We start from the raw sequence: 18,023 nt of genomic DNA, 5'->3' as shown, positions 1-18,023 counted from the left end.
GGACCAGCCTGGGCAATATAACAAAACCCTATCTCTACAAAAAAAAAAAATAATAAATTATCAGGACATGGTGATGTACACCTGTATTCCCCATTACTTGGGAGACTGTGGAGGGAGGATCACTTGAGCCCAGGAGTTTGAGACTGCAGTGAGCTATGATGGTGTCACTCTACTTCCACCTAGGCAATAGAGTGAGACCCTGTCTCAAAAAAGAAAGAAAAAAAGAATGAGGTACTATAAAGATAACAGTGTGTAATGGGGCTTGTTGACTAGTTGGTCTCTCCACAGGGAATAAGGTGGGATCCAGAAATTTCTTGGGTACTTCTAAATGCCAGTATCTCTAGGTATTTTATCGTGGGTTAGTCAATGTCCCCATAGAAAGATTATTTGCCTAGTAGAATAAGCCTGGGTGCTTGGACTGATTAAGTCATAGATGAGTGGATGATGGTGCCCAGAAAGAAGTCTTGAAGTGTTCAAGTGGAAATTGCCCAGGGTTAGTGATCCTCAGTTGCAGAAGTCCTCCTGATTCTAGCATGAATGGATAATACAACTTTCTTGAGAGAGGAGTCAAAGACTCTTCTCTTTTTCACTTTCTTCTTGGGGTACCTGAAGATGTCTAGAAGAATCTTTTGGTTGGCTGTTGGTGTATCCACTGATTTCTTTATCTCCCAGCTTATCTCATTTTCTTCCAGGAACCTCTCTAGGTTGTGAGGGGAGACCAAAAACCAACTAGATATCCACTCCACTTTAAAGCTTTGTCTGGTTAAATAAAATGAACCTTATAAGAAATGCTTAGCTCTTTTGGGAAAAAGTGATCTGTCTCTGTAATAATCTCTCCATACCCAGCAGTGCTTCTTTCCCTAAGGTGGCTTTCAGGAGTATGGTAAGAGAGGGCTTATGAGATCTTATAGCTTTGAAAAATAAGCTCTCTAGTGCCAGATAGTATACTTGCACATTCAGAAATGTAGTCCCCAAGTATTAAAGGACACTATCAATATAGAGAAAGGGCAACTCACAGGATATTTGCAAATCATATATCTGATAAGGGATTAATGTCCAGAATATATTTCTTTAAACCCCTACAACTCAAAAAGAAAACAATCTGATTCAAAAATGGGCAAGGGACTTGAATAGACATTTCTCCAAAACAGAAGTACAAGTCGCCAATAAGCACAAAAAAAGATGCTCAACATAACTGATCATTAGGTAAAGGCAAACCAAACGGAGTGGTAGCTCATGCCTGTAATCCCAGCAGTTTGGGAGGCTGAGTTGGCAGGATCATTTGAGTCCAGGCACAAGACCACCCTAGGCAACAAAGTGAGACCCCATATCTACAACAAATTTAAAAATTAGCTGGGCATGGTGGCACGTGCCTGTAGTCCAGCTACTTGGCAGGCCAAGGTGGAAGGATTGCTTGAGCCCAAGAGTTGAGGCTGTAGTGAGCCATGATCACGCCACTGAACTCCAGCTCGGGTGAAAGAACAAGACCCTGTCTTGAAAAATAAATGAAATAAAATTGCATTCTGAGTTATGGGAAAAATAAAATAAAATGCAAACCAAAACCTGGATAAGGTACCATTTCACACTCATTAGGATGGCTATTATTTAAAAAAAAAAAAAAAAAAAACAGAAAAGAAACTACTGTTGGCAAGGATGTGTAGAAATTGGAAACTTCGTACATTGTTGGCGGGAATGCAAAATGGTGCAGCCACTGTGGAAAACAGTACGGTGGTTCCTCAAAAAATTAAACATAGAGTTACTATATGGCCTAACAATTCTACTTCAGAATATATACCCAAAATAATTGAAAGCAGGCCCTTGAACAGATATTTGCATACCAACATTATTCACAATAGGCAAAAGATAGAAACAACCCAAATGTCCATCAATGGATGAATTGATAAACAAAATAGGACATATACCTATAATGATGCTACTCAGCCTTAAAAAGAAAAGAAATTCTGATACTTAAACGTGGGAGACATAAAGCCAAACACAGAAGGACAAATATTACATAATTTCACTTACACGTGATACCTAGAGCAGTCAAATTCACAGATACAGAAAACAGAATGGTGATTTCCAGGGGCTGGGGTAAGGGGAGAATGGGGAGTTAGTGTTTAATGGGTACAGAATTTTTGTTAGGAATGATGAAAATGTTCTGCAGGTGGATTGTGGTGATGATTGCACAAAAATGTGAATGTACTTACTGTAACTGAACTGTACACTTAAAATAGTTAAGATGGTAAATTTTATATATATTTTACCACAATTAAATTTTAAAAAATGAAATGATGTAATCTTCAAGGTTGAAGATTTATTGCCCTAATAGCAATAGGATGTGGGGAAGGGTGATGGGCTTCTCTTGCCTCCCTCCCTCTCATTGACATCATCTCCTACAACTTTATGACTGGTTTTTGTCTCATATCTGTCCCTGCCCACCACCACCAGATACCCACATTGCTACCTCATTCCTTCATTGTCTTTTGGCTTCCATAGTTTCTGATAAGAAATTTGCTGTAATTCTTATCTATTTTTTCCCCTCTGTATGTTTCCCAGCCCCTTCCTGCTCTTCACTTCTTCACATCTCTGTTCAATGGTCTTTCCTCAAACAGCTCTTAAACTAACCATTCTACTTAAAATGGCCATATTTTTTTTCTGCCTGCTTTTAAGACTTTTCTCTTTATCACTGGTAATAGCCAGCCATGAATTTATAATAGATGGCACCAGTGGTAGGAAGTGAGACGAGAGAAGTTCATCAACCCTTCCTTACATCCCATTGCTATCCTGGTAATAAAGGTTCATCCTCAAGGAGTATTTCTGACTGCTCAAGGACACCACGTGGACCAGAAGAGCCTGTTTTTCAAACCTATGAGATTGTGTAAACTTTCTCTCATCATACACCGGAAGGCCAATTCAGGGAAAGAAGCAGTGGAGGGTATGGGGATGCTATCCTAGAGAGAGATTTTTTTTTTTCTAAAAGACACATGTTTCTTGCAGGCGTCATTTAAATTATGTAATCAAATAAAGCTTTAAACCAGAGTTGGCAGCCCTAAATGGATGTACACCTAATACACAACTTCAAAATACATGGAGCAATGTGAATAGTGATCCTGGAGTTGTGCACTGTAGTGGCTCTGCTTATTAGCCCCTTCCCACTCTTCACTTCTTCACATTATTCACATCTCTGTTCAGTGCTGTTTCCTCAAACAGCTCTTAAACTAACCATCCTACTTAAAATAGCCATTTCCCCAACCATCCCATGACTCTGCTTTATTTTCCTTTGTAGCATTTATTCACAACATACCATTTTATTATTTATTGGTTACTTTTCTGTTGTCAGTCTCCTTCACTACAGTATAAACACCATGGGTGCATCTTCACTGTCTTATTCATATCATATACCCAGTTCCATGATCAGAGCCTAGAACATTCATAGTAGATGCTAAATAATACTTGTTGAATGAATTTATTTATTTACTTATATCATTTAATATGAAGTATGTATTAGTCCATTCTCACATTGCTATAAAGAACTACCTGAGACTGAGTAATTTATAAAGAAAAGAGGTTTAATTGACTCACCGTTCCTCAGGCTGTACAGGAGGCATGGCTGGTGAGGCCTCAGGAAACTTACAATCAGGGCAAAGGGGAAGCAAGCACGTTTTCACATGGTAGCAAGAGGGAGAGAGAGCTAAGGGGGAAGGACACACACTTTTTTTACCATCAGACCTTGTGAGAACTCACTCACTATCACGAGAACAGCAAGGGGGAAATCTGCCCCCATGATCCAATCGCCTCCCACCAAGTCCCTCCCCCAACATTGGGAATTATAATTCAAAATGAGATTTGGGTGGGGACACAGAGCCAAACCATATCAAAGTATACAGCTAATATTTATAATTGTTATTTGAGTTTATCTTTTTCATTTTTATATTTTTTCCATTCATTCTGCAATTCCCTAACTTTGTGTCATGTATACAGTCAGCTTGAGAGGTGGGGGGGAGAGAAAAATGTATAAAGTAAGAGCTCCACAAAGAAATCCCTACTTCCTGTGGAATACAATTCGAAGTCCTTTGCAAGCAGATTGGACATTCTAAATCCAAGGGAGGCAATAAAGTTTTATTTTAATTTGTATTTATTGATGTATTTTTTTTTGAGTCGCAACCTCACTCTATTGCCCAGATTGGAGTGCAGTGGTGCGATCTTGGCTCACTGCAACCTCTGCCTCCCGGGTTCAAGTGATTCTCCTGCCTCAGCCTCCCGAGTAGCTGGGACTACAGGAGCCCGCCACCACGCCCAGCTAATTTTTGCATTTTTAGTAGAGACGGGGTTTCACCATACTGGCGAGGCTGGTCTAGAACTCCTGACCTTGTGATCCGCCCGTCTCGGCCTCCCAGAGTGGTGGGATTACAGGCGTGAGCCACCGCGCCCGGCCAAGTTTTATTTTTTTAAAGCACTCAAGAAGTTAGGTTTGTTTCTAGAAACGTGGAAGCATCCGTCTGCTTCCTTCCAGCGTCCCTTTGCTTCCTTCCAGCCTCCCAAGGAGCCCAATTCCTTAATTTTCCCTACAGAGAATAGCACCAGGTCCAAAGCAGCCTGAATCAAAGCTCCTCCTTTGGTAATTGACAGCTGAGGGAAATCCTACTGAGGCCCACCCCCACCCTCCTCCTTGCTAGGCTGACAGGCAAAACTCGGTGGCAGTGGCTTCCAGCTCAGCCAATAGACGAAGCGGGAGCAAGAGCCTGTGTAAACAAACCCAGAGTGCGGCGCCTTGGTCTCCTCCCCCACGAGTGGGCCGGGCGCATCCTTGGCCCAATGCCTATCCCAGGCTAGCGTAGCGTCCTTTCAGCCAATCAGAGCCGGCATCTCCCTCAAGGAGGTGTTCCACCACAGGAAAAAAAAAATGAAGGAAGAGAAAAGACAGACATTAAAACCAATCAGAAGCTGAAACTTCTGAGGGAGTGGGCGGGCACTGCTTCACATTTAGACCAATAAAAACCACATATGCCATTCTAGGTGACCGAACGGCATCTTCTTTGGCCCAATAGACGAATGGGGCGGTGCCCGGCAACCAATGGCTTGGGTTCGGGGGCGGGGCGAGGAGGCAGTGTGCAGTAAGAGATAACCTGGCAAGTGGTAGTGGCGCTTCTCGGGTGCTGTGCTTCACGTTTTGGTACTAAAGGCCGAGACTGTTGTGGCGACGGCGACCTCTACGGCAACGGCTTAAGCTCTCGGAGGAGTGGCAGAGTACGATCTGAAGGAGGGGCTTCTGGTTAGCCCAGGTGGGCTCGGGTGCCCGGGCTGCTGGGGAAAGGACTCGAGGGAAACGCCGTTCTCCCGGCTCTGGGGGCGCCCTGCGCCTCCCTTTCTGCCGCCGTCGGGGCTGTGAAGGGCGGCACGCGCCTGCCCGAGCTCCTGTAGGGAGGGAAAGCGCGCGGGGTCCCACGTCGCGGCCATCGGCGAAAAGGGGCGTCCGCTGGGGTCAGCCCCTGCCCCTCGGGAGCAATAGGGGGTTTTCGTCCCTTTCCCCCCCGCACAGGTGCTCTGTTTCCCCCCGACTCCCACCCAAGTTCCTGACTCCCCTCAGCGTCCTCCTAACACTCGAACCGAATTCTTGGCCTGAGTCCCATTTCTACCCAGGTGCAACAATGCTAGGCAAATTGACCCGCGCGGCATCCCCCGCCCCTCTCCCCGGGCTGGAGCGGGAGGGATTGCGCGTCGTGCCCTTCCCCTATTCGCGGCCCCTGCGCGTCCTCTGCCTTTTTATACTTGCTCCATCTCCCCCTTGACTCCAGCCCTCATTCTTCATGCCTCATTTGCCTGGGAGACGTTCGCCACTTCTCTTGTGCCTTGCGGTCCGTGAGTGAGCCCATCACCCCCTACCAACCCCTAAATTCCATTCTCATCTCTCCAGAAAACTAACATTTTCCACTTGCCTCTTCCAGGCAGCTGGAAGGTGAACTGAGAGAGGCAGAATACGCAGAACAGGGAGTTTGGCAAGGTTGGGAACTTTAATGTTTTGTTCCTGGTAGACTGTTTTTGCCTTCAAATGGCATTTGACCATTATACCCGCTCTAGAATCTTTGTCCTAATGCAGTTCTTTTGGTGGTAATTGCTGAAAATGCAGTTGAAAAGGGCTAACTAGAAGCAAGGGATTTAAATTTTGTTACTATTATTTTCAGTAAATTGAATTGGATTATACTTTAAACAGCTTAACTGGGGTTTCTGGGAGTTTGTAGTGTAAGGGCCTGGCTACCCTACTTTGTCATAAAATATAGAACATACTTAGTTGTACAGCACAGTGTGATTCGATCACACCCAACCTATGAAGGGATAATAACAGCATTGAATCTGTCCAAAAACAACATTCCCTGTTCCCTTTTCACCTTCATAGTATATTCGTTTGGTTTCTAGTAATGTCGGTTCTAGCCATATGTTTTTTGATAACAGTACAAACTATGCTGTGCCTAAGTAAAATTATGCCAACAATTTTATGGGGAAAAGCTAATGCACTGCTCTTAGCTTTGATTAAGATTTTAGACGTTTGAAAATATAAATTCAGATATTGGACAGTGAGGGTTTTATTTTGAAGGTTGGAGGAGATTGAAGTGTTGGGGTAAGACTGATAGGCTCCTCTGGCTACTTGTATATCGGGGTGGGGAGAATATACAGGTTTACAAAATCTTGTAAATTCTCACAGTGCTTAGTTTCCTGACTTTTCAAAAATTGGAATTGTTTTTCCTAGCTTTCAGTGGAGAAATGTAAGCTATGAGTTTAACATCATGTTCACTGTGTTTTGGCCAGGATTTTGCAAGCTTTTGTGGAAAAAATTATATTGCTTTCTTTATCCTGTTTGTAATGTATGTATCAGTATGCTTCCTTGTATTTTACTGTGGTAAAATTGTATCTTGTATATAAAGAAAAAAGTCTATTATAGTGAATTAAAAGAAATCTTTACTCTGAGGTGGCAGCCTTGTCTAATGGACCATATGTTTAAGCCTTGTTAATAAATCACACTAGAGCCTAGCACAGTGGTGTGTGCCTGTAATCCCAGCCACTTAGGAGGCTGAGGCAGGAGGATTGCTTGAACCTAGGAGTTTAAGACAAGCCTGGGCAACATAGTGAGACCCCATCTCAGTCAATCAACCAATCAATCAATTACACTAAAAAGAGTAAGATCTTAAAACTGTTCCAACAAATGTCTGGGTGTCTAAAACAAGGAAAAGAGTTTATGACAGAGTTACAGCAGTCATCAGAGAAAAATCCTGGACAAATTGCAAATCTGTAACAGTTGTGAATTGCTGTGACTGCAGCTGAAAACCAAAGTTATTTTTGTGCAGTCTTTTTTGGGAGTATTTGTGTTTAATAATAACTTGTTTGCAAATTTAGAGGACTCTAGCTATGATTTCTTCTTAGAGACCTTGAGGAGCTCACAGTTTAATGGAAGAGAGAACTAGAAACCAATAATTAAATGCAGAGAGTGAGGTTCTGCAGTAGAAGGTATATACAGGGTGCAGAGAAGCACGATGGCACTGTGTTCTGATCTCATCTCCTACTGCTCTAGACTTCCTGAAGTGCCATTTCCTGAACCTACCTGTTTTTTTCCACCATCTGGACCTCTCTCTGTATGCACCATTCTCTCTCCTTGCAAGCCTTTTCCACACCTTATGTGCTTGGTGAAATTCTGTTTCTTCAAAATCTTGAAGCCTGCCTCTGCCTCATCCAAATGTTTTGCCTACTTCTCTGTTATTTCTTTATAAATAATTATAGTCAATTCTCATTATTTGCAGTAGTTATATTCTATAAAGTTGCCAAGAACACTGAATTATCAAATATTCAACCCTTGTTCCCAGGGAAAATATATACATATATACATATCTCACACAGATTACAAAATTAATTCCTAAAAACAACTCATCCTGGTAGATTGAATTTTCCTTACTTACAAAAAATAAAGGAAGTACAGAAGTGTTAAGCGATTTGCCTGAGGCCTCTCTACTAACAGGTGCCAGAGTTAAGATTCAGACTCGTCCAGATGGCCCCAGAGCCAGAGCTTCTTGCACTACGCTGCACTGCCCTCTGCTGTCTCTGTCCTCTGGTCATCTTTGTATGAGGGCTGAGACAAGGCTGAGGGTCACCTTGGGACTTGGGCAAGGAGTGACATATTTTTCACTACTATGTGTATATCCATAAGTCACCTTGAAAGCTCCACAAGTATTTGGGGATTACAAAGACATTTTAGCAAGTAAGCAAATTTGCAAATATGGGATCCACAAATAATGAAGATGAACTGTATTTGTAAGTGACTGCTAGGGTCTGTTTCATGGTAACCCCTTTCCCCAACAATGTGGACTATTTCTTTAGCTTATTTGATAGTTTGTACATTTATTCATAAATTTATTCAGTTATCATATATTCATTCATTCAGTTTGTTCATTTATCATATATTAAGCACTTACCATAAGTCAGACTCGGCTGAGCGTGGTGGTTCATGCCTGTAATCCCAGCACTTTGGGAGGCTGAGGCAGGTGGATCACGAGGTCAGGAGTTCAATACCAACCTGTCCAGGATGGTGGAACCCTGTCTCTACTAAAAATACAAAAAAATTAGCCAGGCATGGTGGCAGGAGCCTGTAGTCCCAGCTATTCAGGAGGCTGAGGCAGAGAATTTATTGAACCCAAGAGGTGGAGGTTGCAGTGAGCCGAATCGTGCCACTGCACTCCAGCCTGGGTGACAGAGTGAGACTCCATTTCAAAAAAAAAAAAAAAGTCTGTGTTTTTGTTTGTTTGTTTGTTTTTGAGATGGAGTTTCGCTCTTGTCACCCAGGCTGGAGTGCAATGGCACGATTTCAGCTCACTGCAACCTCTGCATCCTGGGTCAAGCAATCCTCCTGCCTCAGACTCCAAGTAGCTGGGATTATAGGCTCACACCACCACACCCAACGAATTTTTGTATTTTTAGTAGAAACAGGGTTTCACCATGTTGGCCAGGCTGGTCTCGATATTCTGACCTCAGGGAATCCACCCATCTTGGCCTCCCCGAGTGCTGGGATTACAGGCGTGAGCCTCTGCATCCAGCCTCAAACTCTGCTTTAATCTGTGGTGAACAAGCTGGAGATTAAGGTCCTGCCCTGTGGATTTTATATTTGCCTAAGAAAGACAGATAAGAGCTAAGTCAGGAGCTCTGGGGAAAGGCCCAGGTTGGAATTATAGATTCACTTGACCAAGGTAAACCTGGTGTGCCTGCTCCTACTTCACATCCCCAGACATACTTCCAGAACATTTCCTTTTGTATTTTTGTGTACAAACTTCCTTTTGAGCCTCTCTCCATTGTCACATGTCAACCTCTACTTGTCTTTTGTTGATTTTGAGGCCACTTGCCCATGTAAGTGGCAGGATATTATAGAAGAATCATGCTGACCTGGGTCTTTGAATTCTGGTTCTGCTACCTACCAACTGAGTTCCTTTGGTCAAGCTCTTGGACTTCTGAGCCTGTTTCCTAATTCCAAAAGTGGTATATGATGTGTTAGTCCCTGGTGGGTTGCAAGAAAGAGGCACACACATATCAGCTTTGGTGATGAGGGCTGAATGTAAACTTGGATGGAAAGTCATCTAAGCAGCCATATTGTCTCTTGGCCCTAGTACTTTCAAAACTTCACAGAACATTAATTTAGCAGTATTTAGTATTTGAGCTCTGAAGACCTGCCCTCTTTTGCTTTGTTCACTCAACATTTGTATTTTCCAAGAGAGAATATCTGATTGGATTAGTCTGTCACCTTCTAAAAACAGAAGGCCCCTACTAGAGAGAATTTTGAGCTGTGCCATCATGTCCTTGGTGATTGATCTCCCTGAAGTTCAGCCTATATGCCGTCCTCAGCTGAAGCACTGAGCCCTGGTCCAGTCACTTGTGGCCACAGAAGTAAGGTTGGTTTTATGCATTACCAGTCACACAGATATGCTACAGATATGCTTTTTTGTGTATGCCACAGTCACACAATAGTTGTATTGTGTCTGGAGTTGGTTCCTGCCTGTGGGTTCACGGTCTCACTGACTTCAAGAATGGAGCCCCAGACCTTCGTGGTGAGTGTTACAGCTCTTAAAGATGGTACGGACCCAAAGAGTGAGCGGTAGCAAGGTATATTGTGAAGAGTGAAAGAACAAAGCTTCCACAGCCTGGAAGGGGACCCCAGCAGGTTGCTGCTGTGGGCTCAGGTGGCCAGCTTTTATTCCCTTATTTGTCCCCTCCCATGTTCCGTTTCTGGGCTATCAAGAGTGCCCTTTTTTCAATCCTCCCTGCGATTGGCTACTTTTAGGGTCCTGCTGATTGGTGCATTTTACAGAGCGCTGATTGGCGCATTTTGCAGAGCGCTGACTGGTGCATTTTACAATCCTCTTGTAAGAGGAAAGTTCCCCAAGTCCCCACTCGACCCAGGAAATCCAGCTGTCCTCACCTCTCAGTATGACTATAGCATATTTTAAAAGAACCCTTTGGAGAGTTTCTTTAGAAGACGATTGAGAGTATAACAGTTCTAGAGTTTCATGGCCTTTTGTCCAATTCAAATACTTACCTAATATAATCATAGATAATTATTAATAAAGAATCTAACAAGGTAATTGACACATGTCAAATATTCAATACATCTCCCTTTTGGTATTGCATTTAGTATTATAGTGTGGTTATTTGTTCATATGGCTGTTTTTCATACTAGACCGTGAGCTCTGTGAGGGCAGGGTCTACAGTTTCAACTGTAGAAATTCTGAACTCTTCCTGAGAGAATGGGAGGATAGAAAGGCTTCCCAGAGAAGGTATTATTTAAGCTGATATCTTTAAGGGTGAGTAGGAATGCTTTCCAGGTGAATAAAACCTTCAGACATCATTCCAAACCGAGACTAGCAGGTGCAAAGGCACAGAGATATAGAGATGGTGAAGTTTACTTATGTGCTGTTTGTATTAAAAATACAAAGAACAAATAAAAACAAAAATTAAAAATCATCTAGAGGAAAAACTATGAATGGGCTTGGCCAGAGGGCATGTCACAATTGAGTTAGCTATGACCATAGATACTCAGTAATGGATGGAAGTTTTAGGGAAAGAGTATAACATTCTCAGGTTGTTGGCAGAGTGTCTAGAACAATTTAGAAATACAGGTAATTGAATTCTGGGAATGATTACACTGTAGTGAAATCATTTACTTCTTCTCTGCCTGTGAAGCATACATGTGTTGCACACTGTTCAAGGTCCTGAAAATGAGACTTCTTCTCAAGGAGCTCATGAGCAATCAAGGGAGACAGATGGGTGAGCAGCTGATTATCATGTGACAAGTGAGGTAATAGAGGTATAACAAAAATGCTATCTAAACAAGAAGAAAGGAATAATTAGTAATATATGGAGTGCTGGGGAAAGATTTCTCAAATGAAGCTGGCCGGGTGTGATGATGGCTCACGCCTGTAATACCAGCACTTTGGGAGGCAGAGGTGGGAGAATCCAGGAGTTCAAGACCAGCCTGGTCAACAGAGCAAGACCCTGTCTCTATATTTGAAAAAATAAACAAATATTTTTTAAAAACGAAGTGATATTTGAGCACTCTGGAGCACTATACAAATATAGGACAGACTGAAGGAATTTATCCACCTTAATTTGAGTTAACATTTTTAAACATTTTATATTGCAGAAATAGTACATATTCACTGTTGTGAAATTAGAAATAATTGATTGGCAAGGAGCAGGGGACTACAAAGCACTCCACAGATCCACCATACTGAGACAGTGGTTAGTGCTTTGATGGGTTTATTGTATACTTTCTATGCATATACATGTATTGTATACATACATATGCATGGTTAAATAGAAATGGTTCATCCTAGCTGTTCTGTTTATCCCTTTATTTTTATGAAATAAATCCCCAAAGAGTACATTTGCTTTGTCCAAGGGAATCTTTTGTTACGTGCTGCTGTACATAATGAAAACTGAAAAAGGGGCTAATATTTCAGCCTAGTGACCATGTGGGCTTGCAGTAATTTAAATAGAGGCCTCATGAGAGGCACCTTCGGAAATGAATTTGGTGTGTGTAGGTGGTTATGCTTGGCATCATTGTTTGTGCTAGTATGATAGGGATGACTTCAGTGCCTGCCATCAGGGAACTGGTTAAGTAAACTATGGTACATCCAAATGATGGAATACTGTGTAGTTGTAAAGAAGAATGAGAAAGACCTATGTACTCATGTGGAAGAACTAGATATTGTGTGTGTTTTTAAAAAAGGAACAAGGAATGGTATATGGATGGCATAGTGTATATGGTATGCTACTTTTTGTGTTGAGAGAGAAGAGTAGAGTAAGAATATACGTGTGTTTGCAGAGATAACTTCTGAAATGATAATAAGAAACCAATTAAAAGTGTTTGGCTGTGGAGGGAGAATAGGACTATGAATGGGATTTTGCCACATACATTTATAGATAGTTATATTTTAAATATTTTTGAACTATGTATTTGCGCACATTACCCTTTTAAAAATAAGTGAATGAAGGAATGAAGTGGGATTATGAGAACGAGATAAGAAAAAAGGTTCTATGGGGCTGCCCATCTTTTTAGTACCCAGAGAATATTAATACATAGCAATAGCAGCAAAAATTGGAAGAGTAGCCCCAGGAAGGTGGGGAATCAGCCTTTCCTTTGTCTTTTCCTCAATTTCATATATTTTAAAAAATGAGAAGAGTAAAACAATTTAAAACAAAAATGTTTCCAGAACTTGTAAAATAAAAGGAATATGGGGCAGCTTTGTGTAGTGCACATCCCGAAAATGGGCTGATTCACCTCAAGAGGCAAGGAGTCAAGCTCTCTAGCCTACATGGGGTACATACATGAGAAAAATAAGAAAAAGAAAAGAAATGTAAAAATAAATGAAAATAACACTTATCCCTGATTATAAAGGAAATCACATTCTTTTTACAATAATTTAACAAAATATAAAGAAAAACCCTTAGGCTGGGCGCGGTGGCTCACGCCTGTAATCCCAGCACTTTGGGAGGCCAAGGTGGGTGGATCACAAGGTCAGGAGATTGAGACCATCCTGGCTAACACCGTGAAACCCCGTCTCTACTAAAAATACAAAAAAAAAAAAAAAAAAAAATTAGCTAGGCGTGGTGGCGGGCACCTGTAGTCCCAGCTACTCGGGAGGCTGAGGCAGGAGAATGGTGTGAACCCAGGAGGCGGAGCTTGCAGTGAGCCAAGATCGCGCCATTGCACTCCAGCCTAGGTGACAGAGTGAGACTCCATCTCAAAAAAAAAAAAAAGAAAAAAAAAGAAAAACCTTTAATTCTGCCACTCAAAACATTCTGGTTTGCTGCTTTTTATACTTTTTTATGCATATAAACATTTTTAAAAGTAGAATCATAAAATATAGTCTTTTGTCACATTATATTTTGGGCATGTTTCTGTGGCAGTAAATATATCCTGGCATCATCATTTTTAATAGCTGGCTATATATTAAGTGAATCATTGCCACTCCAGAGGTGAATTTCCTTATATATACATTTTAATGGACTTGAGCAAGCATTTTTGGACGGAATTCATAGAAGTAGAATTTCTGGAGGAAAATAACAAAAAAACAGTTTTAGGGTTTTTAATAGAAATTTTCAAATTATCCTGCAGGAAAATGGGTTCAGTGTATACTCCCACCAACAGTGACAGAGTTCCAGTTTCGCCCTTCCATTTGTCATCTTTGCTCGTCTTTAAGCAGAAAATCTCATTGTTTTAATTACATTTTCTTTAATTTCTAGTGCTTTTGAGTCTTTTTAATATGCTTATTGGCCATTTTTATTCTTGTGGGAAGTGCCTTATTTCTCCATTATTTGTTTTTTTCTGAGTAATTTTATAAAATTATAAAATAATTTTATCTTTTTTATCATTTTTCTTTTTCTGAGTAATTTTAAAGATTTCTTTATAGGCTAGGGATACAAACCTTTTATCTGTCATTGAGGTTACCAAAACTGTCTCCCAGTAAGTAATTTGTCATTTTGCTTTATTTTTTCTTTCTTTTTTTGCTAGCCAAGCTCCAAAGTCACATTTCACTTTATTTTTATTGGGCTGAATGAAAGCATTTTAACTTAGTGATTTTAGTGTAAACAGGAGTAGGGCAGAATGTAATTATCTAGGTCTTGGTCTGTCACCCAGGCTGGAGTGCAGTGGCATGATCATAGCTCCTGCAGCCTCAAACTCGTGGGCTCAAGTGATTTTCCCGCCTCAGCCTCCCAGGTAGCTAGGACTACAGGTATATACCACCACGCCCAGCAGATTTGAAAAATTTTTTGTAGAGATAAGAATTCGCTATGCTGCCCAGGCTGGTCCTGAATTCCCGACTTCAAGTAATCTCCCCCCTTGGCTTGCCAAAGTGCTGGGATTGTAGGCATGAGCTTCTGCTCCCAGCCGAGAGCTTACTTTTGTTTGCTAGTGGTGTTCTTGGTATCTTTTCATATTTGAGGCTTTATTGCTAGTACTGAGGTATTACCCTCACCATCTGAGGTTTGAGGACTTTTGTTTTTAATATTGAACAGATGGAACTGTTTAGTTCTGCATCTTTGCAGGTAACACAATGTGCCTACCAGGACTCTGCCTCATGTCCATTGAAAGCAAGAAGCAATACAGTAAAACTTTGCCTGGGTAGAGGCTTTGAAAGAATGGAGTATTCTGGTTTAATTCTATTAACTTGGAAGTATGAAGGTGAAAAAATTCAAAAGTTTAATTTCCTGTAGAATGCAATCCAAAAATATAGGCTGGGCTTGGTGGCTCACACCTGTAACCCCAGCACTGTGGGAGGCCCAGGTGGGTGGATCACCTGAGGTCAGGAGTTTGAGACCAGCCTGACCAACATGGTGAAATGGTGAAACCTTGTCTCTACTAAAAATAGAAAAATTAGCTGGGCCGTGGTGGTGGACTCCTGTAATCCCAGCTACTCGGGAGGCTGAGGCAGGAGAATCACTTGAACCTGGGAGGCGGAGGTTGCAGTGAGCCAAGATCATGCCACTGCACTCCAGCCTAGACGACAGTGAGACTCCGTCTCAAAAAAATTAAAATATATATATATAGCCAATAATTCCACTTTTCTTCTCTTAGTAAGTTTGGACATTCAGAGCTACTTGGTATTTTATTATAGAACTCCTAGTGTGCCTGAGACTTACATTGTGAAGATCCTTTTCTAAAACTTTAGATGTAAGAGGATGTAAATGGTTTTGTATCAGAGCAGTCTGGATGAGAACTGACACCTGTAAATATACTTTTTAGACTAAGTCTCTGATTGCCATTTGTTCTTATTTAACTCATAAAAATAAAATACATTGGATGGAGGGTGAGAGTAGAAAGGAGATATATGTCTTTTAATTGGATGTCATTATTTCATATCAAGATAGAACATACAGTATCCCTGGCTTTGGGCCTACAGAAAGAAACACATTTTTCTAAGTGCTATATGCCAGAGGTTCTTGAACACCTGGAGGGCTTATTGCAACACAGATTGCTGGGCCCTATTCCAGAGTTTCTGATTCATCAGGTCTAGGGTGGGGCCTGAGAATTCGCATTTATAACAAGTTCTCAGGTGATTCTGATGCTGCTGGTCCAGAGACTACATTTTTGAGAACCATTCTTGTATACTAAAAATTGTAGAACTCTAGAAGAAAGCTCTTTGGTCTGGGATGAGAAACATACAGGTTATGGAGCAAATCATGACAGATTCAACCCTTGATCCCAGCCTAGTGTGGAGTTCAGGTTACAAGCAATACACAGTGACATAACACAATTCTTGGTTTTTTATGATTGGAAGTCATAGCCAAGTATCTAGTGAGAAACTCCATTTCATTTGCAAGGCTTAGAGAGGCCAGGAGATTCTAGGCAAATAGGATTTAGTGATTAACCCCATGAAAGTAAGAGTTATTTATGTCCTTCTTCTCTCCCCCATCACTTAGCATTTAGCCTTTAGAAGGGCCTTGTATTTTTTAAAACTGGTAAAGAGCTTTGAGTGCTTATTAAATCGAAACCTTTGTGTGTTTTTAAAGATATTAGACATGTATCTTGAGATTATTTTAAACAGTAATGTAGGAGAATAAGAGAAACTTTTTCCAAAAAAGAAAAATCACTATGATTATTTTATCTTATTGGAATGTTGGATAATATAGTCTCCTTCATTAATCATCAAGCATGCTATGGGTTTTCCATTTTTATAGGATTTGTACCTCAACTGAGGTAATACTGGTAATTCTTGTACTCCATTTGAAGATGAAAAATCAAGGCCAAAATCAAAGACCTGGCATAGAAGCTGGATAATGAAGACAGCTTCAAAGGAACACATAGATACACACACACATAGATACACAGATATATAAAGTACACACAAATATATTTTTTAAAGTTTTATTTATTGTTATTATTGTCAGCACAGACAAAGATATCTGTGCTGAACTTAGGCATCATATGTAGAATCTTTGCGTTGAAGAGAAAAGAAACTGTGGAAGCCACACCTTTTCATAGAGGAGTTTTGCTTTAACAAGTTTTTCTTGCTTGTCAACTCTAATTTCTATCGTTCCACGGCTAATAGTCTCAGTTGACCAGCTGGTTCAGCCTAGACTGTTTGAAGGAATAACTAGTATTACAAACAGTGGGTTAGGCAGATTCCTTACTTGGAAACATTCCTGTTTTTCTCCCCTTACCCCTCAGAGAAGAGTTTGAGTGAAGAAGGGTAGAACTAGAACCCACAGATTAAACTGGTGGCTCTGAAGCCTGGCTGCACATCAAAAACAACCCAGACTGTTTTCTAGAAAACGACACAGATTTTGCGCCTCACCTTTAGACCATCTGAATTGTGATCTCCTAGGATGGACCTTTTTGGGAGGCTGGGGGGAGTCTGCATTTTTTCTTTTTTTTTTTGAGACGAAGTCTCGCTCTGTCACCTAGGCTGGAGTACGGTGGCACGATCTTGGTTGTGTCTGCATTTTTTAATAACTTTCCCAGGTAATTTTATATAGGCTCCTGGACTGTATGCCTCAGATCAGATCAGTGCCAGTCCCAGGTGAATTTTCACCAGCTTATTGTGAAATAAGAAGTATAAGGACCACATAGTATTTTTTGTAACATTAAATTCATTCAGTTTAAAGAATTGTCTTTTGCATTGAATTAAGACCTTCTTTTGTTTTTTTGGTGCTAAAATATCCTTTTATAGAATGATGTTGATAAGGATGTTTTTACCATCTTTGTATGTTTTTTAATTTGGAATCCTATATTGTCCTCAATATTTTTTAAAATCTCCTGGTTTATGAAATCCTAAATACTGAGTGTCTCTGATCTAATCATCCTTGGAAACTGTTTTTTAAATTATTTGGAATACAGGTTCATAGAGGGTCCAAAGCCCTTGGAACTAGACAACTCTCAGAATTCAGAATTTTTCAGGTTTAGGAAGATGCTTTCTCTGTTACGAATGCCTCAGTGTGTCTGATGCAGCATCCTTAGTCACCCGATACATTAATATTTCTGAGCAAAACAGGAGTATTCACACTAAGTGGGTAGATAAAGGCTGTATATAGCTTCATATCAGTTCAGGCCAAATTTTACTGTCCTGCAAGTTTTGACATAAAACATATGAAAAATTCTTGGTTTTTAGAGCTGTTTGGATATTAGAATTGTACATAATGGATTGTAGACCTATTTGGAGGTTTGGTTTCTCATCCTAAAAGTATTAGCAAGCTTCAAATTAAATGGAGCTTCATATGTTCATGGTAGGGAATGTAATTTATTTTGATTTAAATAAACCACCATGTGCTGTGATTGGTTTGTGTTTTCCTTCCAAAGACCTCAGTACTTTTGTTGAATAGCATTTTTCTTCAGCATGGTTCTCCGAACCCCATTTTTAATATTTGAGATCAAATCAGAGTTTTCTATTATAGCCTTTCTGGACCTAAAGTGGGAAGTGTGAGTATGGGGTAGTCACTACATGGAAGTGGTTAAGAGCATGGGCTTTGGGACCAGAAAGACCTAAGCT

At 40.8% G+C, this 18,023-nt stretch overlaps 1 protein-coding gene across 4 annotated transcripts in view, besides 2 other annotated features; it reads left to right on the top strand.

Moving 5' to 3' along the window:
• Positions 4,825 to 4,964: an enhancer, noted in NCBI's record as "active region_16017". NCBI's record gives its function as "activates an Ori minimal core promoter by ATAC-STARR-seq in GM12878 lymphoblastoid cells {active_cell/tissue: GM12878}" and the evidence as "EXISTENCE:reporter gene assay evidence [ECO:0000049][PMID:35858748]".
• Positions 5,110 to 18,023, top strand: part of PAIP2B (poly(A) binding protein interacting protein 2B) — a 44,366-nt gene continuing 31,452 nt past the window's right edge. Inside the window, exons 1-2 of one of the 4 annotated variants that reach the window (XM_005264310.5) lie at positions 5,797 to 5,858; positions 5,949 to 6,004. Coding sequence is in view for 1 of the 4 variants with exons in the window: in XM_011532842.4 (XP_011531144.1) it covers positions 5,811 to 5,862 (52 nt within the window). In the remaining 3 variants the exon portion in view is untranslated. Of the gene's footprint in view, positions 5,286 to 5,796; positions 5,863 to 5,948; positions 6,005 to 18,023 lie in introns of those variants that run through there. The other 3 variants (NM_020459.1, XM_005264311.5, XM_011532842.4) reach the window with 3 other exon arrangements.
• Positions 5,180 to 5,680: an enhancer, noted in NCBI's record as "H3K4me1 hESC enhancer chr2:71453663-71454163 (GRCh37/hg19 assembly coordinates)". NCBI's record gives its function as "activates a minimal SCP1, AML or CMV promoter by ChIP-STARR-seq in primed H9 embryonic stem cells {active_cell/tissue: H9 hESC(primed)}" and the evidence as "EXISTENCE:reporter gene assay evidence [ECO:0000049][PMID:30033119]".

The sequence above is a fragment of the Homo sapiens genome, chromosome 2 (genome assembly GCF_000001405.40).
Source record: "Homo sapiens chromosome 2, GRCh38.p14 Primary Assembly".
NCBI classification, from domain to species: Eukaryota; Metazoa; Chordata; class Mammalia; order Primates; family Hominidae; genus Homo; species Homo sapiens.
Note: the sequence above shows the minus strand (reverse complement) of the source record. Positions and strands in the feature narration are given on the sequence as shown.